The sequence below is a fragment of the Homo sapiens genome, chromosome 8 (genome assembly GCF_000001405.40).
Source record: "Homo sapiens chromosome 8, GRCh38.p14 Primary Assembly".
Taxonomy (NCBI): Eukaryota; Metazoa; Chordata; class Mammalia; order Primates; family Hominidae; genus Homo; species Homo sapiens.
In genome coordinates this window covers 91,360,606-91,383,771 of record NC_000008.11, presented here as the reverse complement: position 1 = coordinate 91,383,771, position 23,166 = coordinate 91,360,606, and the positions used below count along the sequence as shown (strand labels likewise).

Here is a 23,166-nt window from a genome sequence, read left to right as displayed (position 1 = left end):
GTGGAGGTAGACCCAGCAAGTCATAATGCTCAGAAAGACCTCAACAGAGTGCCTCTTCGTATTGACATAAACTGACTGAAGTGTTTTGGAGACTCAAACTACTAAAAGTGGTAATGGAAGATGTCTCTAAAAATTGAGAAATTTGTATTTTTACTAAGAGAAATAGCATGATTTCCACTTCATAATTGATGTAACCCTGCTTCATATATTTTGATTATTCTATCATGCGCTCAACTACAAATCTTTTCCTTCTGAAACGATTTTTAGGGGAGAGGGCTATTTTTAAATCTCTTCCTTCTTGCCCATTCCCTTACTCAGTTTATGTCTTTTCTTCCTTTAATCACTTCTAGATCTATTCTGTAGTCCCCAAAACCCACTTGATGTCTCCTGGATGACTTTATTTAGCTTAAGTTTACCATTGTCCTACCTAAACTCACTTTTCCTTTTAGCTGTTTTCCTGGCTTCCCTATTATTCCCAGTTTGAGAGTTTCAAAGTTTCAGAATCATCATTTGTATTGTTCTCTCCCTTACTCCAACTTCCAAACAGTTCCAGCTGGTGTTCATTACACTGCTGAAATCTCTTCTGAGTCCTTCATCTCCATTTTCATAACCTGGTGACCAAAGAAGAGGAAGATAGAAACTTCACTCCTCTTCTCTAGATTATTATTGCCCTATCATTCTTGCTTCCTTCCATGCAGGCTGCATTTAGACCAATCCTCTTGAATCTCAATTTTAAGTATCCCCTTTCATGTATATAGCCTACTTTCAACAGGGACTTAAGTCCTGCCTCTACTACCCCTAACTAGCTGCATGATCCAGAGCAAGTTAAGTCTCCCATACGGGCCTCAACTTCATCAGTAAAATGAAGAGTGTTCTTGTAATTATTTTAATTATTTTAAAATGAAGAGTAGAGCGTTTGCCTATTACCTATTTTAGTTATTGAGAATAATGTCCTGTGAATTGCTATACAAACATTTTGTTCATTGGACAATGAAGGATAATACAATGGAAATTAAAAATGCATTATTTACCTTAAAATCTAGTTAGGAGGAAAATATGCATAAATAAAATGACTCTATAACCATATAGGCAATATGTGATTGATTAAAGCATGTGGTAATTTCTCTGTTTCACTATTACTATGAATTCCACTTTATAGGTGAAGATACTGAATCCCAGTCTGCACTTGACTGAGAATTCTTCCATACAGATCTAGTTGACTTTTTTCTCCCTAACAAGATTGAAAAGAAGTGTGTACCTTCAATATATTTTACTTCTCTATTAAACCTCAGAAAAAGTATAAAATTTGGATTGGAAGAAAAGGGAGATAGTTCTAGTTATGAGAATCCAAATAGAGGCTTAGACCCAGAAATGATTAAGTTAGATGTTGGAGCCATAAATGGATTTGTCTGGCTGGGATGGAGAGCTTGTATAATGTGTGGTAAGAAGGAAAGCAATTTGAAAGGATAAGGAAGCCTTTTAGGTGCCATGCTAGGGAGTAGTACTTGATCCTCAGAAGGAAACCATTATAATTTATTAAGAACAGGATGGATTTTTTAAAGTAGAAGTGATTTAACATTAATCTGTTATTATGTCACAGAATGAAATAAAGCTGGAATGGCAATTAGATCTCAGCTGCATGTAAACTCCATTTGTAGTAGCTTCTTACAACAACATGTTGAGAGGATTCTGAGGCTACTTTGACTCATAGGAAAAAAATGCCCTGATCTATTATTGTGTCTGGTATGCACATACATACTGGGTATTTTCTATCTATAGAATACAACAAAGCCTATCTCATAGCATAAGATAAAAAACAATATGAAGATAATACTAATTTCAAACATAATTAAGGACAGAATCAGAGTCACAGAAGTAAAAATGTAAAGGTAATGAAACAAAGTTACAGGTTTTAGGGATTAAATTAAGAAGTGAAATAAAAAATAAGCACAGTGCACATAACCTCAGCATTTAAAGCATAGGAGAGTACAGCAGGGCGTTACTTGAACAAGAGAGAGAGATAAGAGGACTGAGGAAACTTTGGAGGGGAGAGAAGAAGGATGTCAGAAGTGTTCTGATAAACTATGTCTGGCAAGTATCGAAGGGCCACTGGGTACCAAAGAGTTTCACGAGGACCCAGCAAAGGTGATCATGCCCATCAGCTACTGTTCTGTGCAAAGTGGGCCTGGTCAGGATGCAGAAGTAAGAAACTCCCTTAAAAATTTTTCAGTTCAGAAAGAGAGCAAGGCACTCAAGAAGTTAAGTAAGTATTATTCTAGTATTACATAAGTGTTCTCTGAGAGCACAAGGCAGGTAAAAGTAAATTTGCCACAATAAACTAGAAAAGACCAGAAAAGCTGACATCTGAGATGCATCCATGTTAATGTGGGTCCATGCAGTTCATTCATATATTTATATTCTATTTTATTATGTTGTATATTGATTTACAACATATTATATGTTGTAATTCAATTGATATTATACTATGTATTTTATCCTCTTACAAAAACATTCTACATATTATTTGTCCATTGTACTGCTAATGGGTGTTTTGCTTATTTCCAGTTTTGGGGAATTAATAAACAATTTTATGAAAAATCTTGTAACTCCTCCAGATACAAATATTAAGAGATTCTTTTTGTAATTGTCTTAGAAGTGCAGAAATTAATATAATTCAGCTTTTTTATTCATCTAAGTTTATATGAATGAAATTAGAACCTTACTATATGTTTTCATTTGTCTTGCTTTTTTCCCCAACATTGTTTATAAGATGTATATAATTTTCATTATTATGTCAGTATAACATATAACAAATATATTAAGTAAAAACTCAATTGTATAAATATGTCACAATTTATACATACCTGCTGCTTTAGTTGGACACCTGAGTTATTTCCAGGTTTGGACAGTTACAAACAATATTATTGTGAATATTCTTGTGTGTGTACTTGGCTGCACATAAATTATCATTTCTTCAGGATGTACAACTAAGAGCAGAATTGCTGATCACAGGATATGTGTATCTTCAACTTTATAAGACATTGCCAAACCGTTTTCCAAGGTGGATGCACAGATGGTAATCAGAAAATGCAAAATCCGAAATGCTCCAAAATCCAAAACTTTCTGAATGTCAACATGACATCATAAGTTACCTTGAACACATCATTTTACTATCTTAATGGTATGTCATAATTGTTACTGTTCAGTACTTACATGGGAATAAATGTAAGAAAATGATAGCTTATTAGTAGCATATAAATTCAGTCAGGAGTGATGGTAATGCCAAACAACCGGAGATGATTGTCCACATCATTTGCTTTCTGATGGTTAAATGCACACAAACTTTGTTTTATGCCCAAAATTATTTAAAATATTGTATAAAATTACCTTCAGACTATGTGTATAGGGTGTATATAAAACATAAATTAATTTCGTGTTTAGAGTTGGGTACCATTACTAAGATACCTTATAATGCATAAATAAATATTCCAAAATCCAAAGAAATTCAAAATATAAAACACTGCCGGTCATAAACATTTCAGATGAGTGATACTCAACTTGTAAGAGTTTATACTACCACCGACTTTGTAGGAGACTTCTTGTTGCCCTATATCCTCACCAATCCTTGGTATTGTCAGATTTTTCCATTTTGACCAATATCATACATATAGAGTTATTTAATTTGCATTTCCCCAATAATAGCTGTGAATAATAATAGTGAAGTCAAGCATATTCCTATATGTATATATTTTGGTAACTTAGAAAATGTCCCTTTATGTGAAATGCCTGTTCATGTTTTTTGCTTATTTTTCTACTGAGTTGTTTGCCTTTTTTTACTCGTTGATTTGTAGTAGAAAGCAGTCCTTTCTGCATTTTATAAGTTACATCTATCTTCTTCCACTCTGACTTATTTTTTCATGTTTTATATAGTACCTTCTGGTAAACAAAAGTTCTTAAAAATAATATAGTGAAGTTTAATAATCATTTTCTTTATGCTTAATGCTTTATATTTCTTGTTTTAAGGAAATTTATTTATTCCAAGGTCTTTTAAGATATTTTCCTATATGCTCTTCTAAGTTTACATTTTGTCTACTATATTGAGATTGATCTACCTCATACATATGTGTGGTATGGTGTGGATTAGGGGCCTAATTTCATTCATATAGATACATAATTGTCTCTGCATTATTTATCATCAAGACTGTCCTTTCCCATTGCTCTATAGTGCCATTTTTGTCATAAATAAAACTGCAATACATGTGAGGGTTTTCCCCCTCTGAACTCTCTACTCTGTCATATTGACCTATTTATTTCTGATCCAATACTACACTGCAGTGATTATTAGAGCTTTATAATACATCTTGATGCTAAGAGGACATACCCTTCATTTGTTCATATTTTTCAAGTGTCTTGACTATTCTTGGCCATTTGCATTTTTATTTAAAAATTTAAATAAGCTTGTAAAAAGCCATTAAAATATTCTATTGTAACTTTACTTGATATTAAATATAAATCTATAAATCAGTTTTAGAAATTATGCTTTTTGATATCAAGTATTCTAATCAATGGGCATTGTGCTTCCCTCCATTTATTTATAAATATTTACTTGCTACAGGTATTTTTAATGTCTCATAATAAAGTTGTACACCTTCATCCTGTGTAGGTCTATACATTTTTATTTAAATTCACTTCTAAGATTTGATTTTTTTTAAAGATACTGTAAATGGTAGCTTTTATGTATTTTCTCTTTGATGCTAGTATATTGAAACCAATTGATTTTATATTGATTATGAATTACAGGAAACTTTTAACTTCTTATTAATTCAAATATAGTGTATTATTTTTATATTTTAAATAAACAATTATTTCATGTGTGAATGATACGAGTTTTCCTCTTTTCCTTTTAATTGTTACAGATTTCCAAATATATGGTAGTTTTGGGGTTATATTTTTGTTGTAAATTTCCTTCTGTTAAATATTTCCAACTTAACTGAATTTTGGACAGAAACCTGCCTGTATAATTTTCATTATTTGAAATGTGTTGAAACTTGTATAATGACCCAGTGTATGGTCATGAGAGAGACAGTAAGACTCGGGGCTCTCCTAGCTGGTATCTGAGAGAGAACACAACAGCCCAAGTTTAATGTCCAACCAGATCTTCAGCCAAAGATGATAGTCCTAATTAAGTTCTTCAGACTAGTTTCCCCTTTTCCCAGACCTTTAGCAAGATGCTTCTGAATCATTCTCACATTTATTACAACATATATATACCTAATAAATATATCAATTTAATATATAAATACATATAAAATTATATATTTATATATACTTTATATTATATATAATATATATTATTTATATATACTTTATATTATATATAATATATATTATTTATATAAATATATAATTATACATTATAATGTAATTATATATTTCATTTATTTCTTGTTTCTTTTTCTCTCTTACCAAGGAGTGATGTTAATATTATATACCATATGACCTTATATAATCCTAACAAGTGTTTAGGTAATGATTTGGACCTCAGTGATTCTGCCTTCATTTTTCCTGCTCTCCCTCCCTTGTTTGCTCCCTTTTTTCCATTTATTCATTAATTGACCATCTATTAAGTTTTTGTGCCTAGTGATAAAGCCATAATAGTAACAAATACCAAATTCTTTGGGAAATAATGTTAAATGAAAGAGACAGTCAATGGGAAAAGAATAATAGTGAAGACTTGAGAAATAAGGCAGTAACCATGCCATTCTTGCTTTCTAAAAATATTTGTAATTCGTTTTTTTCAAGATGGCTAACTAGGAACATCAGATACCAGTTCTCTTCAAAAACTACGTCAAAGTTTTTGGTGAATGGGCATGTCCTAAATGGAATATTGAGGGAAGAGAGCCAGTACCTGTCAAAAATCCTAATGGAGGAAGCAGGGTTGCACACACTTAAAAAGCAGCAAAGTCTGAGAGACTGGCAGCCGAGGAACTCAGAGTTCACGGAAAACATAGGTGGGGGTGCTTCTCTGTTCCCCTCACCCCTGTGACAATCGACAATCTGCAGACCACCAAACTCTTAGGGTGTCCCTCTGCTCTTGTGACTGTGCAATGCTGTTGGTGGCAACTTGAGAACTTCTCAGGGTCAAAGAACCAGGTGACCAGCTCACACATGTGTGCCCTCACTATCCTCAGATCTAAGCTAAGATGGCACCATACTAATTCTGCACCTATGGTGGACTTCTGCCCTGCCAGAAGATTCTCTGTCCTTGAGTCACTGCGCCACCAGACTGCCCGCAAACATCTCCTACAACCCGCTCTGACTTTGGCAGGTGCAGAGGACCAGTGGGTCCCAGGGGAGCTTTCAGACCTCTGGAGATCTAACTTTCCGCCACTTCTATGGGTGGGCACTCAGCTCACCAAAGCCCCCCTGGGACAAAGGAAACGTAGATGTGGTACCAATCACTGAAAGGGGGCAGCACCAGCAGCCAGGAATAGACATGGAGAGGTGATCATGTCCCACTCCCCTCATCCACTATTGCAGACTCAGAAGAGGTTCTCCCTGATGGGGGCTGGTATGTGTGAAGGAAAGCACTTGGAGAAAGTGCTTTTCATGGCAGCTCCACCACTATTGAAAGTGAACCCTCCCTGCTTGGGATTGCACAATGAGCAGGGACCACCTTCTCCTTCCTATACAGAACAGCAGCAGCCCTGCAATGGAGGACATAAGCTACAGAGTTGTCTGCTCTGGACTGGGGAAGGTGGCTCTGCCCTGAGTTGGTTTTAGTGGGAGTGGACAGAGGGCTTCATCCACAGTCTGCAGCCACTTTGCAGCCATGAGCCAAAGGACAAAGTCTATATAAACTGAAGGTCATGAGTCCTGAGGCAGGGGTGCGATAGGGAGGTAAACTGCATTCCTGCCAGCTCAGCTTGAGAATCTGGTGCTCGCCCCACTGCCCCTTCCCTGGAGACCTACTCACAGCCCAACATGATCTCCCCTTGCCATCCTCCCGTGAGACTGAGTGCTTCCACTCATCAGCCTCCTGGGAAGTGAGCCAGCTCTTAGTCTTAAATACCACCTACTGGACTGGAGCCTGAACTGCCCCACAAAATAAAAACTTGCTGCCAGAAGGACACAGTGATAGTGCAGAAGAAAAGCTACCTGAGATCTCTGCACCCTCAGCCCTGCAGAAGATACTGTTTTGGCTCTTACATTCGATATATCACTACAACAGGCAGCATCTGAGAAAGCCAGTGCACAGAAGCTGTCCACAACCAAGGAACTCATGCAGAAACTTGCCCTGAAAGCACCCAGAAATGAAGCCAAAAGATTGTAAAACACATACACTGCAGTATACCCTCAAGGGAAAAAAGAGTGAAAAATGTAAAAGTCCCATCCAAATTATATAAAATTCAAAAATAAGCAAGAGCTCCTTCAGATGAGAAGGAATCAGTGAAAGAACTACTGCAGTACAAAAAGACAGAGTGTCTTGACACCTCCAAAGGATCAAGCTAACTTTCTAGCAATTGATTCTAACCAAAAGGAAAAGTCAGAAATGGCAGATAAGGAATTCAAAATGTGGATTCCAAAGAAACTCAGTGAGATCCAGAAGAAAGTTGAAAACCTGCACAAAGAAACCAGAAAACAATTCAGGATTTGAAAGATAGCTATATTTTTATAAAAGCCAAATAGAACACCTAGAATTAAACAACTCGCTAAAGGAATTTCAAAACACATTTGAAAGCTTTAATAATATACTAGAAAAAAAAGAATAATTTTAGGCCTTGAAGACTAGTCTTTCAAATTAACCCAGACAGAAAAATAAAGAAAAAGATATTTTAAAAATCAAACAAAGCCTTTAAGAAATTTGAAATTATGTAATACAACTAAACCTATAACTTATAGGCATACCTGAGAGAAGAAGAAGAAAAAGTAAGCAATTTGAAAAACACATTTTAGCAAATAATTCAGAGAAATGTCTTTTATCTTGCATGTGAGGTAATTATCCAGATACAAGAAATTAAGAAAACACATGTGAGATACTGTAGAAGAAGACATCACTGAAGCAGAGTCATCAGACTACCCAAGGCCAACATGAAGAAAAAAAAAAAAAACAACTTAAAGGCAGCTAGAGAAAAGGGCTAAATTACCTATAAAGGAAATCCCATTACACTAACAGTAGACTTCTCAGCAAAAATATTACAAGCCAGAAGAGTTTGGGGGTCTGTTTTTAGCCTTCTTGAAGAAAAAAAAAATGCCAGCCAAGAATTTTATATTCTATCAAACTAAGCTTCATAAAAGAAGGAGAAATAGTCTTTCTCAGACAAGGAAATGCTAAGGACAACCAGACCAACCCTACAAGAAATGTTCAAAAGAGTTCTAAACATGAAAATGAAAGGACAATACTTGCTACCATGAAAGCATATTGTGTACAAAGTTCACAGATTTTATAAAGCAATTACACATTTGAGACTACAAAGCAACTAGGTAACAACACTATGACAGAAACAAAACCTCACAAATCAATATTAACCTTGAATATAAAAGGCATAAATGCTCCACTTAAAAGATATGGCTTGGCAAAATGGATTTTTTTTTAAAGACCCAACCATCTGCTGCCTCCATAGCCTCATTTTTTGTGTAACAACACTCACAGGCTCAAAGTAAGGGGGTGGAGAAAGATCTATCTCACAAATGAAAAACATAAAAGAACAGGAGTTTCTATTCTTGTATCAAATAAAACAGACTTTAAACCAACAATGGCAAAAAAAAAGAAAGAAAGACAAAGAAGGGCCTTATATAATGATAAAGGTTTCAATTCAACAAGATTTAACTACCCCTAAATATATATGCATCAAACAGTGAAGCACCCAGATTTATAAAATGAATACTACTAGACCTAAGAAAAGGGACAGTGGCCAGATGATAATAGTGGGGGACTTCAATATCACACTGGCAGCACTAGAAGGATCACTGAGGCAGAAAACTAACAAAGGAACTCTGGATTTAAATTGGATTCTTGACTGGATTGACCTAATAGACAGCTACAGAACATTTCACATAACAAGCACAGAATATACATTTTTCTCATCTGCAAATGGAACATTCTGTAAAATTGACCACATGCTTGATCATAAAGCAAATCTAAATAAATTCCAAAAAAAAATCAAATCATATCAAGCATCTTTTTGGAATACAGTGGGATAAAAGTGTAAATCAATACTAAGAGAAACTCTCAAAATCACACAAGTACATGGAAATTAAGCAACTTGCTCCTGAATGGCTTTTGAGTAAACAATGAAATTGAGGTAGAAATCAAAAGTATTTTTGAAACAAATCAGTATAGAGATACAACATAACAAACCTCTAAGATACAGCAAAAAAAAAAACAGTGTTAAGAGGTAAGTTTATAGCATTAAGTATCTACATCAGAAAGATAGGAAGCTCTCAAGTTAACAACCTAACATCATACCCAAAGGAACTAGACAAATAAGAACAAATCAAACCCAAAGCTAGCAGATGAAAAGAAATAACAAAAATGAGAGTACAACTAAATGAAATTGAGACAAAAAAAATACCAAGGAGAAATGAAACAATAGTTCTTTGAAAGGCTAAACAAAATTAATAGACTATTAGCTAGATAAACCAAAAGAAAAAAAAGAGAGAAGATTCAAATAAGCACAATGAGAAATGGTAAAGGTGACATCACAACTGATAGCACAGAAATCCAGGAGATCTTCAGAGACTACTGTGACCATCTCCATGCACACAAACTAGAAAACAAAGAGGAAATGGATAAATTCCTGGAAACATACAACCTCCCAAGATTGAACCAGGAAGACATTGAAATCCTAATCAGACCAATAAAGAATTATGAGATTTATTCATAATAAAAAAAACTACCAACCAAAAAGAAGTCCAGGACCAGATGGATTCACAGGCTAATTCTACCAGACATACAATGAAGAGCTAGTGCCAAGCTCATTGAAACTATTCCAAAAAGTTGAGGAAGAGAGAGTCCTCTCTAACTCATTCTTTGAAACCAGTGTCATCCTGATGCCAAAATCTGGTAAGGACACAATAAAAAAGTAGTACTAAAGGCCAATATCCCTGATGAACAAAGACACAAAAATTTTCAACAAAATACTAGCAAAGTGAATGCAGCAGCACATCAAAAACAAAAATTCATTATGATCAAGTGGGTTTTATTCCAGGGACACAAGGATGGTTCAACATTTATAAATCAATAAATGTGGTTCACCACATAGACAGAATTAAAAACAAAAGCCATGTGATTATCTTAATAAATTCAGAAAAAATATTCAGTAAAATCCAACATCCCTTCACGACACAAACCCTCAACAAATTAGGTATTAAAGGAACATACATCAAAATAATAAAAGCAATCTACAACAAACCCATCTCCAAAATCATACTGAATGGCAAAGACTGACAGTATTCCCCTTAAGAACTGGAACAACACAAGGATGCCCACTCTCACCACTCCTATTCAACATAGTACTGGAAGTGCTAGCCAGAGAAATAAGGCAGGAGAAAGAAATAAAAAATATCCAAATAGGAAGAGAAGAAGTCAAACTATCTGTCTTCACAAATGATACAATTCTATACCTAGAAAACTCTGAAGACTCTACCAAAAGGTTTCTGGAACTAATGAATGACTCAGTAAAGTTTCAGGATACAAAATTAATGCACAGAATCTGTTGCATTTATGTACACCAACAAAGCTGAAGCTGAAAGACCAAATCAAGAACTCAATCCTATTTACAACTGCCACAAAAAAATAAAATACCTAGGAACACATTTACACAAGGACGTGAAAGGCCTCTACAAGTAGAACTACAAAACACTGATGAAAGAAATTGCAGATGACACAAACAAATGGAAAAACATCCCATGGTCATGGAAATGAAGAATCCATGTCATTAAAATTACTACCACTCAAAACAATCTACAGATCCAATACAATTCCTAACACATTATATCACTTTTCACAAAAATAGAAAAAATAATTCAAAACTTCATATGGAACCAAAATAGAGCTAAAATAGGCAAGCAACCCTAAAGGGAAAAGAATAAAGCTGGAAGCTTCACATTATCCAACTTCAAACTATACTTCAAGGCTATAGTAACCAAAAAAGCATGGTACTGGTACAAAAACAGATACATAGATCAATGGAACAGAATAGAGAATCCAGAAATAAATCCACATACCTATAACCAATTGATCCTCAATGATATTAACAAATATTAAAAATGAAGAAAGGATTGCTTATTCAAAAATGGTGCTGGGAAAACTGGCTAGCCACATGCAGGCAAATGAAACTACACCCTTACTTCCATCATATACAAAAATTAACTCAAGATGGATTAACGACTTAAATATAAGACGTGAAACTATAAAAATTCTAGAAGAAAACCTAGGAAAAACTCTTCTGGACATTGGTGTAAGCAAAAGATTTATGACTATGATCTCAAAACAAATGCAACAAAAACAAAAGTAGACAAATGGGGCTTAGTTAAACTAGAGGCCTTCTGCACAGCAAAAGAAACAACCAACAGATTAAACAGACAACCTAGAGAATGGGAAAAGATATGTACAAACCATGCATCCAACAAAGGACTAATATTTAGAATCTATAAGGAATTTGAACTTCAATGAGAAAAAGAAAATAACCCCACTAAAAAGTGAGCAAAGGACATTAACAGACACTTCTCAAAAGAAGACATACATGCGACCAACAAACATGAAAAATGCTCAACATCATTAATCATCAGAGAAATGCAAATCAAAATCAAATCAGATACCATCTCACACCAGTCAGAAAGGCTATTATTAGAAAGTCAAAAACTAACAGATGTTGGTAAGTATATGGAGAAAAGGAAATGGTTACACACTGTAGGTGGGAATGTAAATTAGTTCAAACCCTGCCCTCCACCATGGAAAACGGTATGGAGATTTCTCAAAGAACTAAAAATAGAACTACCATTCAACCTAGCAATCCCACTACTGGGTATCTACCCAAAGGAAAAGAAATCATTTTATCAAAGAAAATCCTGCAGTCTTATGTTTATCACAGTACTATTCACAATAGAAAAGTCATAGAATCAACCTAGATGGACTGGATAAAGAAAATGTACTATATATACACGATGGAATATTACACAGCCATAGAAAAGAATGAAATTATGTCTTTTGCAGCAACATGGATGGAGCTGGAGGTCATTATTTTAAGTGAATTAATTCAGAAATAGAAAACCAAATACCAGATGTTCTCACTTATAAGTGGGAGCTAAGCAATAAGTACACATGGACATATAAATAGAAATAATAGACACTGGGAACTCCAAAAGTAGGGAGGGTAGGAAATGAGGAGAAAGTTGAAAAACTACTTATTGGGTACTATTTTCAATATACCAGTGTAATCATCCTGCACGTCTCCCCTGAATCTACAATAAAATAAAAATTATTTAAAGTAAATTTAAAAAATAGATCCATAATTGACTTCCTCTTATTAATAAGAAAAAGGGAAGTTAAAAAATCCAGTTTTCACCCTGAATTTTCAGCATCAACCTATTTCTTCAAACTTGTGATCTAATAACAGAAAAATGTATAATGCTATTTCATTCTTTTAAAAATCATGTTATTTCTTTAGCTCCATGCTAAAAAGAACATAGTTATTTTGAAGCATATGTTTAAAGTAATAGATGTCATTCCATTAGTAACATTTTTAAAAATCTAACACATTTGTAACTAAAATTATTTCCAAAAATTCAAAATAAAAAGTAATACAACTAGATATCTGTCAAAGATTTCCAATAAAAATCACTGTTATCTCTACCTACTTAGAAGAAATTGGCTAAGCAAATATTGCATGACACAAAAAATAAGAGATTTTTGTATAACCTTTTATATTAAATAAAAGTCACAATTATGAATAATTTAACTACACTGATGCTTTAATCTTAGTAAATATCAAAAGATAAATATACAAATCTGTTTCAATTCAACTCTTTTATCATTTAGTTATAATATCACAACACTTCTCATTCATATTTTCTTGTATATCTTTTAATTTTCTCTATACTGAGACAACGGTCACATCAATTGATGAGTTTGCAAAGAAAGATAATTAAACTTCTAGAGAATATTGACCTGGTAATTTAACAAGCATCCGCCATCAAAATATTTGTTCTTGTCACCTGATTTTTCAGGTAAATCTGAACATGTAATAGCTTTAAAGTGCTAGTTTGTTTTGGGTGGAGATCCAAAATGTATTCAAAGATATATTTCATGATAAATCCTCATCCATATTAAAACTACACTAATGCCATGAATTTCAATTTGTGGTTCAAATGTTTAAGTAAATGAAAAGAAGAAGGAGAGGAAAGAGGAGAGAAAAGGAAAAGAGGTGGGAGAGGAGGAAGAAGAAAGAGAGGGAAAAGGAGAGAGGAGGGAAGAAGAAAAGAAAGAAAATGGGAGGAGGAGATTGAAGAGAGAACAGGGAAGAGGAAGAAGTAAAGAGAAAAAGGAAGAAAAGAATAAAGAGAGAAAGGAGGAGAAAATAGAAAAAAAAAGAAGGAAAGAAGAAGAGAGAGGAGGAAGAGAAAGAAGACTAGAAGTGAAGGAGAGAGGGAGAAGACAGGAGAAGAAGTGGGAGAAAGAAAGAGAAGGGAGAAGGAGCCAAATGGCTAAATCTGTTTTCTGCAGATAAAAGTATTAGTGCTTATTTGGTAACATAAGCTCAAGCTAACGCCAGTAGAAGGGAGGAGGAGAGTAGAGGGAAGAGGACAATTAGGAGAGAAAAAGAAGAAGAACAGAAGAGGGAGGCAGATGAGGAGGAGAAGGGGAAGAAGATTTTATTCTCTGGTCTATCTTCAAGGTAAACACTTAGATTTTCTTTTTCCTTAAAGCTAACTCACCATTGCAGTTGCCATTGGATAGGGAATTAAGCAATGTGTTTTGTTCACACTAAAATAAAAACAAACATAAAGAAGAAAAATGTTATAAAATTTTACTTCTGTCTGAAAAAAATCACATAATTCTTTTACTTATAAAGAATAACAAAAAAACTCATCTCCAAAATTGTTTTTCACTAGCATTCTTTTCAGAATAATGTATAAAACAAACTATGAAATAATAAAATAATTAATTCTAAGTATACAGCAATTCATTAAATAATTTATGTTATCAGACTGTCTTCTTTAGAATATTTTCTGCAAAACTAAGTTTGTTTTGATTTTGGATTAGAAATTAAACATTTGCACATTTTTTAAGTAGCATATTCAATCAGAAATCATCTTTATTAACATTGCATTTTAAGAGAGAGAACCACTGATCATATATACTACCACTACATGAAAATGCTGGATTAAAAAAAAAAAAACAGCTCTGTATCCTACAGTTAATCTTGTCTGACAATAATTGATGCCTCTAAGGAGATCATCTGCTATTTCTCAAATAATGTATTATTGCTATTTTTGTTAATCATATTAATAGCAGTTGATATTTCTTCACTCGTCACTATATGCCAAGGACTTCACACTAACCATTTAATCCTCAGAACAAGCATATGAAGTTATAAATTTTATTTTTTATATGAAAGAGTCAAAGATTAGAAAGGTTAAATAACTTCAGCAAAGTCACAAAACTAGTAAGAGCATGGGTTAAAACCAAAGTTCATGCCCTTCCAATTCCAAGCCTCTTGTTCCCAGCCACTACATTACTCTGCTTCTCTCACGAGATCAGTTTTTATCTTAAAGGCTGACTAGAGAGCCCGTGTTTTCTCTTCTTTATAGCCAGTGCTACAGCGTATGTATTTTAAGCCTGACTTACAGTTATCAGCTATACAATTTCCATCTGGTTATTTTATCTCTCTCTATTTCTACCTCCCTTTTTATGTAACATTCAGGTAATGCCACTTACATCTCAGGGCTGGTGATGATTAAGTTAGCCTGATTAAAGGGACTGGCCCCTGAGAGATATTCAGTGAACCTGAGTTTCCTTTCCCTCCTCTTAAAAATACCTCATCTGGGCCGGGCGTGGTGGCTCACGCCTGTAATCCCAGCACTTTGGGAGGCCGAGGTGGGCGGATCACGAGGTCAGGAGATCGAGACCATCCTGGCTAACACGGTGAAACCCCGTCTCTACTAAAAATACAAAAAAAAAAATTAGCCAGGCGTGGTGGCGGGCGCCTGTAGTCCCAGCTACTCTGGAGGCTGAGGCAGGAGAATGGCGTGAACCCTGGAGGTGGAGCTTGCAGTGAGCCAAGATCGGGCCACTGCACTCCAGCCTAGGTGACAGTATGAGACTCCGTCTCAAAAAAAAAAACAAAAAAAAAAACCTCATCTGAAATCTCCCTTGCAAAAGAATTTCAAAATAATTTATGTAGATATTCGACCCTTAAGGTGGTGGATCATAATTCCACGCTTCTTAAGTGTAGGCTGCACACAGTGACTTTCTTCCAGAGAGCACAGAATAGAGACAATGGAATCACTTTACAGTGTAGAAACCTGGCAAACACTCCCTTATCCAGGTGATCAAGGTAGAGTAAACATGTTGATAAATCATGTTGATTGTAGGTACCCTTGATACAGTGTGATGAGAAGGGCACTTTACCTCTATAGTTTTTCTCACAAAAGGGGCCCACTCTTAGAAGGATCTCCCATCTGGCTTAATGATCTTCTGTCACCATCTTGAAATCCTTAATAATTGTTGAACAGGAGACCTCACATTTTCATTTTGCACTGAGCCCCTGTAAATTACGTATCTGATCCTGTATATAAGGTTTCTATGGTACAAATTAGGGTAAGGCCCAAAGGCAGAAGTGTGAAGCTGTAAGGGACAGGAATGTGGCTCAGGACAGCTCCTAAGACATCAGAAATGGGAGGGTCAAGATCTTCTGTGTACCTAAATGACTGGGGGATAAGTAGCTCGAGGACACAAGAAAAAGAAGAGATCCTGTGATCTAGAGGAGTCAAGGAAAGCTTCATGGAGACAGTAGTCAACCAAACTAATAATGCTAACTAAGATGTTATAGTGTTGAGTAGGCCAAACACTATTCTAAGTGCTTTGCCTTTATTAACTCATTTAATCATCTCAATTACATGTGAGAAAACTGAAGAACAAAGATTCAACAAGTCAAAGTTCCACAGCTAGTAAGTGGCATACCCAGGCAGTTGGCCTCAAAGTCCACACTCCTAACATTACAGAGGCTTAAGGATTCAAATGATAATAGATAGCTTATTTATATTAAATCATATTGATGCACATTTGATTCAATATCACTGTTAATTGACAGTATAAATGGAGATAAAGAATTCTGGAACATTATAATAAAATTATTAAAATGATTGCAACAGTTTATGCGTCTCTGAAGTCATTTATCATATTCTATCACGTTTAGAGTTAAATCTAATGCCTTTTTTGTTTAAAGAAAAGATCCTTTCGACTGGGCGCAGTGGCTCACGCCTGTAATCCCAGCACTTTGGAAGGCCGAGGCGGGTGGATCACGAGGTCAGGAAATCGAGACCATCCTGGCTAACACCATGAAACCCCGTCTCCACTAAAAATACAAACAAATTAGCCGAGCGTGGTGGCGGGTACCTGTGGTCCCAGCTACTCAGGAGGCTGAGGCAGAAGAATGGCGTGAACCCGGGAGGCGGAGCTTGCAGTGAGCCGAGATGGCACCACTGCACTCCAGCCTGGGTGACACAGCGAGACTCCATCTCAAAAAAAAAAAAATCCTTTGGAGGTTGGTTAAGAGATCCATTAAATTGGATCATTTGTCTTATTTATTCTTTTTAGTGCTGTAGTACCTGCAACACATGTCCATTAAATATATACTGAATAAATGAAGAATGAACAAGAGAGTGATTACCTAAAAATTAACTAAAATAATCAAATAATCATAGGTTTTGCTGAAGGGAGAGGTCTCGAAATACTCGTGTGATGTATTATTATTTACTTGATACATGTTTTATTGTCATGATATAAGGCTACATGTAGTATGACATTCTAATCAAACCATTGATCCTACCTTGCTGATATCATCAAGTGGCTGATTACAGGCATTTTCCTTTTGGATCATGTTCATTAAATCAGTATAAAATTTTTTTGCATTCAGGAAAACAAGCGGGTTGTTTATTGAGATAATTTTCACCTGCTGCAGGGTTTCCTTTTGGAGGAGAAAAACAGATTCAGAACTCTAAATAGAAAATTATAGCCAATAAACAATCAGATCTAAATGTCACTCAATTTTATAAGCAATCTCTCAATTAACATTTTTATTACTAAAATGTATTTAGAGGCCTTAATGTACTATCACACTTCCTTAGGGGAAATATATACTTCCTGCTTACTAAGAAACATTAATAATGGCAAGAAAGGTTGGCAGCTTTTCAGAAAGTGGCCCTTATTCCTCCTAGCTGGTTTTTCAGGAGGCAGTAGCCTAGACTATCCAAAGAGTTCCAGGAAGTCCTATCCTTTCAAAAGTATCTCTTTCATTCAATCTACCAATTAAAAATTAATTTACTTAACCATCAGTATTTTTTTAATGAAAATGTGTTATAAAGGGTCAACCATGAGTCATTTGCTTCATAATGACATAGCTTTCCTTCAGCTGAAATATAACTTTACAAGTGATTAACAGTCCTAATTTGAAGACAGAGACCTAGAGGTAGTATTAGGAATATAATTTCACTTTGGGCAGGCCTAGGAACTGGATTGCCAGGATGTGGTGAGCAATATAGAAAGGAAGAAGGAAAAGTTTTGACACAAAACATGTCCGCTTTGGCCATTTTCCCGTCACTTGGTGATGTGCAACTAAAACAGTCTTCTCTATGACCTTTGGGGCAAGTGGCTGGCCTAGAAATAGACAGGAGGGTAAATTCTACAAAATGACAACTCCTTACCAACTAAGTAAAGCAATATTCTTTCAGGCTTTACTTCCATAGAAGAGGAGATGCAAAGAATAGCGATGCATACAGACAGAGGATAGAAGTATGAAAGAAAGAAAATATTAAGTATGCTAATTTGGACAATTCATTTAACTTCTCTCAGTTCCCTCATTTCCAAAAATGAGATAAATGTTTAAACTAGAAAATCTCAAAAAGTTCCTATAGTTACAAAACTGATTGAACTTTGCAAAGTGAGGAGATTTGCAACAAATAACTCAAGAAAACAAACAAACCTTAAGTTGCCAAACTAATGTTCAGACAAGAGTAAACCTCTTAGAAACAAAAAATAACAATGAACTCTTAGGCCTGTCATATTAGTCATCCCAAAGCACCAAAGCTTAGCCTGACCCTCTAATCACACTATGTCAAACTTGTCCAACCCATGGCCTGTGAGCCACATGCCACCTAGGATGGCTTTGAATGCAGCCCAATACAAATTCATAAACTTTCTTAAAACATTATGAGACTTTTTTGCAATTTTTGTTTAGTTTATCAACTATCATTAGTGTTAGTGTATTTTATGTGTGGCCCAAGACAATTCTTCTTCCAGTGTGGCCCAGGGAAGCCAAAAGATTGGACAACCCTGCACTACATAATTGTGCCAATGTGTTGTTTTAAGTTAATATGAAAAAAAATGTATTTGTTAAAGAATAGATATTCAAATTGTTCTAGAAAAGAAATTATCAGTGGGGTTGAATTCACTGAGTGGGAAGAGATCTCTCAAATCAGGAAGGGTCATTTCACATGAAGAGATGGAAGAGTGCATAAATGGAAAAGATAAATGACAGATTATTTTAATTTAGCTGAAAATTCCACCTAAGAACTTATATTCAAATCTTGCTTTATCTTAGTTTTCTCCCTCTTATTTTTTATACAAAACATTGAATAATTAGAGAGATGTAATATTATAGTAAAATTAAAATCTCCATGTGAAACAGTTATTATTCAGGTCAGTGAATAGACAGAAACCAATCAAGACTTAAACATGTGGAGAAATTTCTAGCATTTTCATCTTCCTACAAATCCCCTCATTCACTTCTGTACATGTTTAGCCCAAGAAGAAGTTAAGGATTAGATAGAATTTATTAAACAGTGATTTTTAAGCTGAAAATAGTCAAATCCAAAGCCAAATTCAGTCTCAAAGCTAAGGAGATCAGGGCTAATACATGTGTACTTGTGGTGTGGATACACAGGGGACTTCAGGGGCCCAAAAGTCAGTCTGGGGCTTTGCACAAGCACTAAATTCCCATGGAAAAAATAAGGAAAGAAAAGAAAGGCAAAGTTGGTGGAAAACTTGAGCCTAGAACACCCTGGAAGGCTCTGAACCCAAATAGCATTCTGTGAAACAAATCTGTCCATAGTATTAAAAACATAAGCCATTCCCTTGGGTGCCGCAGAGGGTTCCTGATGCTACTTTCTACTTCCAGTCTATTTGGAAATACCCTGACTCTGGTCCTTCTGGTGGGAGGCCAGTTTACTCTGTCCTTAGGGAAATTATGAGATACTGAAACCAAGTGTATGTGAAAAATAAACGGAAAAAGGTTAGCCAAACATTTACAAAGCAGGTTCAAAATGAGGGCAATTTTCTTTAATTGGCAAAAATATTTCAAGTCAACAATTTTACCCTCACTTTAAACTGTTATAGTCATCCCTTAGAACAACAAACTACAATTAAGACATAATCAATTGGCTTTCCTAAGCATGAGCAGAGCAAAACTGTTTATACAAGTTGTGTCCTTAAAAAGGTACCCACTGTGTAAGAAACCAATTCTATTGGCATTCTGTAGCCATTGGACTGAATTACCCTCTGCTAACATACAGTCTCATTGACTGAGTTAAGAAAAAAAAAAAAAAAAACAATACCATGAACCAAATTTGCTTCATTCCCTTTCCTATTTCCTATCTTCCTCCATGATTTAATTCAGAATAGACTATCAGTTTAGTTTGATTACTTTATGCAACTCAGTAATGGAAAAGAGGTGTCCAAATGCCATGATTCTACAGTGAACTGTAGTTCTAGGTACCATGCTATGCTTTTGTCTGAATGCTGAATCCAAAGAGATTTTCTTTTGTTCTATTGATTTGTTGCATGTAGTTTGCCACATATATTGTGATCACATATGTACCACTGGAAGTTTATACTAATTAAAAAGTTATATTTTTAACTATCATAATTTATCTAATTTTTGTGATGTCTTAAAATTATCTCACCCACAAAATGATTAACAATTGCATAAAGGAAAAATAAAACTAAACTTACACTGTCCATTTCTGTCTTCACTTTAAATTCCATTTCTTTCATATTTTTTATACTTACAGTCATTGCTCTGAAATTAAAGCAGATAGAAAATAAAACAAGTCATTTCCTAATCATTATATAAACAATGAAGAAACCAAAAGTAGTCATTTAATAACTAGAATGTGTCTGAGATGATTTATATCCTATAACTCATTTGTTCATAAGAGGACATTGGTGAATCTATATATCTCTGGGATATTCGGGGATAGAGGTTAACAACAGAGGCATATAAATAGAGCCCCATCTCTCCAAGCTACTAGATGTGGATTAGTAAAGAAGAATTTTAAAAGAGAAAAGGCAAGAGATTATGCAGTATTGATAAAATATTGTTTTAATGAAAAGCAAGAAAAGAAAGAATCAATGGCAAGATAGGACTGGATAGTATTGAATCTGAATATATAAATTCTATAAAGAAAGACTCTATAGAGATAAAACAACATTTTTTAGAATACATTATTTCACAAACAGCTTTAAGGGAAAGATGGATGTGAAGTAAATAGAAACATTATTCCCACAAGAATACTTTGTAAAGCAGAAAAAGAATTGGTCAGACTAGGGAAATGATTTATAAATTTATAGTAAAATGACAAAAAGAGACAGTGTGTTTCTCAATAAATTATCTAGAAAATAGATTAATCTGACTTCTGAAAAATAAAATTTTCTGAAGTTATTTAATTTTCTAAATATATTGTGAAATGGTTTGTGATCATTAGCTACTAACTCTTTTCACTTAATTTAAAGAAATCTCTCTCTGATGCAGTATAAGGCCAAGGGGTTTATTTATTTTAAGAGTTTATATATTCTATTTTATCACGTTGATAAGCTATTTATCTTCATTAAGATCAGCATTGTTAAATATCATATGCAGATAAAACATTTTCTTATCTGTTTGTCTCTAGTTTTCTGACAGCAAGAAAAACATGAGATTGTAGTACTATATGTTACAGAGAAATAAAAGTAACTAGCAAGTACCATATGGCAAGTAACCATGTATTTTGCTGCTGTGCAAAAATAAACAGAGCATTTACATAGGATCCTACCTTGGGAAGCGTCCTATCACTATAGCTATGGTACAAACAACACCAAACAGCAGTCCCACATTGGCAGCAAAGCATATTGTAAATACATATGTACTGACCCATATTCCCTGAAAGAGAAACAAGAAACAGAAGTTGTGAATCCTTTGGAATTCACTTCTTCTCATTATTGCTAAGTTCCTCACAATCATATTCTTAACACTCTTGTGACCAAATCTTTCAGCAAGAAAATATTATTTAACAAGTGGTAAACAGAAGCTCAGAAATACAGAAACAAATCCTGCTCCATCAGACTCTCAGCAGCAAAGGTGGGAAAAAGTTTCTTCTTTTATTTCCAGACACTGCCAACCCTTAGTTCAATCCCCAACAAACACTGTATTTAAGATCTGTAAATACTTGGTTGATGTGTATGGTTCAAAAGCATGCCATGATTTCCCACTGCTTTCTCATTTAATGTAATATTATTACAAGCAATTGTGTACAGATTTTTGGTCATTCCCAACAATATTTTGTCTTCTAGGACTGCTATAAAAATAACTAAGGTTGTTTATTAATACATAAGGCTCAGGAAGCCTAATTTTAAAATGACTGAGTCAAACAACACTGCCAGTGCCACTTTTAGATCAATCACTATGAAGATCATTATAGTTTTATTTGTAAGGGGCCATTCATTATGAAAGCTAAAATATCAGGGCCAACTTAGTTTTGGGGAACATTTCAAAAGATTACACGAAGCTCTAATTGTCTTCTAGTTGGAATACCAAAGTTATTGCAGTTTTGTTCACCACTTAAAATTATAATTTGCAACAAGATATTGTATTATAGTTGGCGTTTCTAAGCTTAGTGCTGAAAAAATATCTTTAAAAGCAAAATAATTTGTGAAATCCAGGTTATATTTTCTTAACACTAAATCCTGCATTTATCAAACAGTAAACTAACGTTTTTAACCTCTCTCTTGTCCTCCCAAAACTTGCAGCACTTTGCCTCTGACTGCAATTCTACATTTATTTATTTCTGTCCTAATAGCTATATTATCACTTTAAAACATCTTTGAAAACATATTTCAATTCCATACACAAATGACAAAGTTAGAAATGTTTGTGTATTCTAAAAATAGCATACAATCTTGGGGAGGGAAGGAGTGCAACTGTTTTTCAGACAAGTCTGAAATAAATATTTCTAAAGGGCTCTTTTTGTTGTTATTGTTGTTTTTGAAATACTTCTCCTTTGTCTGGATTATTTATCTACACTGAGTTTGAGTGATTCTTAACAGACTGTTTTGAAAAGCTGAGCCCTTGGAAGCAAATGGAGGGAATTTTATCCTTAAAATTCCTTTTGATGTAGGACAAACACACATTATGGAGTAAAAGAGAGAATACAATTTAAATGAATCTCATGTTAAGATCCATCATCTACAAATGTAATGCTAGGTTATTACTTATTATGAGATCATTCCCAGCTGAGATGGTTTTTCTTTATTCAGGTGAACACACAGTCAGTCATTTGAGTCTTCTGTTTATATAGTGTGTGTTTTTTTCTTCCTGGTGTATTATGCTGTACTTAATCATATACAAAACAAGGCTGCAAGTTTTTGACTATTATTTTAGCTTCCCATGATGACTCTGAGTCTCACTCATTTTCAAATCCTAACTGAATCTGCCCGAGTGTGGCAGAATAATACCTCACCAAAAGCTTTATAAGTCTAATTCCTCTGGGCCATCCTCCGTGATTCAATATGGCATAGGGAACTAAGGATCCTGGTCCCTGCCACTTAAAAAACCATAGAGCCTGGAGGCCAGAATTCTTCAGAGCAACCAGAAATTTTGGTACCATCTGGTTCTATTTTTAAAGCATATT

The 23,166-nt window shown here is 34.6% G+C and overlaps 1 protein-coding gene across 4 annotated transcripts in view; it reads right to left on the bottom strand.

Annotated features, from left to right (window-relative positions):
• SLC26A7 (solute carrier family 26 member 7) overlaps positions 1-23,166 on the bottom strand; it is a 188,660-nt gene that overhangs the window by 14,384 nt on the left and 151,110 nt on the right. For all 4 annotated transcript variants that reach the window (NM_001282356.2, NM_001282357.2, NM_052832.4 and 1 more), the window contains 4 exons: positions 21,313-21,419; positions 20,234-20,300; positions 17,055-17,192; positions 13,939-13,987 (listed from right to left, as the gene is read on the bottom strand). In NM_001282356.2, coding sequence (NP_001269285.1) covers positions 13,939-13,987; positions 17,055-17,192; positions 20,234-20,300; positions 21,313-21,419 — 361 coding nt within the window. The remainder of the gene's footprint in view (positions 1-13,938; positions 13,988-17,054; positions 17,193-20,233; positions 20,301-21,312; positions 21,420-23,166) is intronic.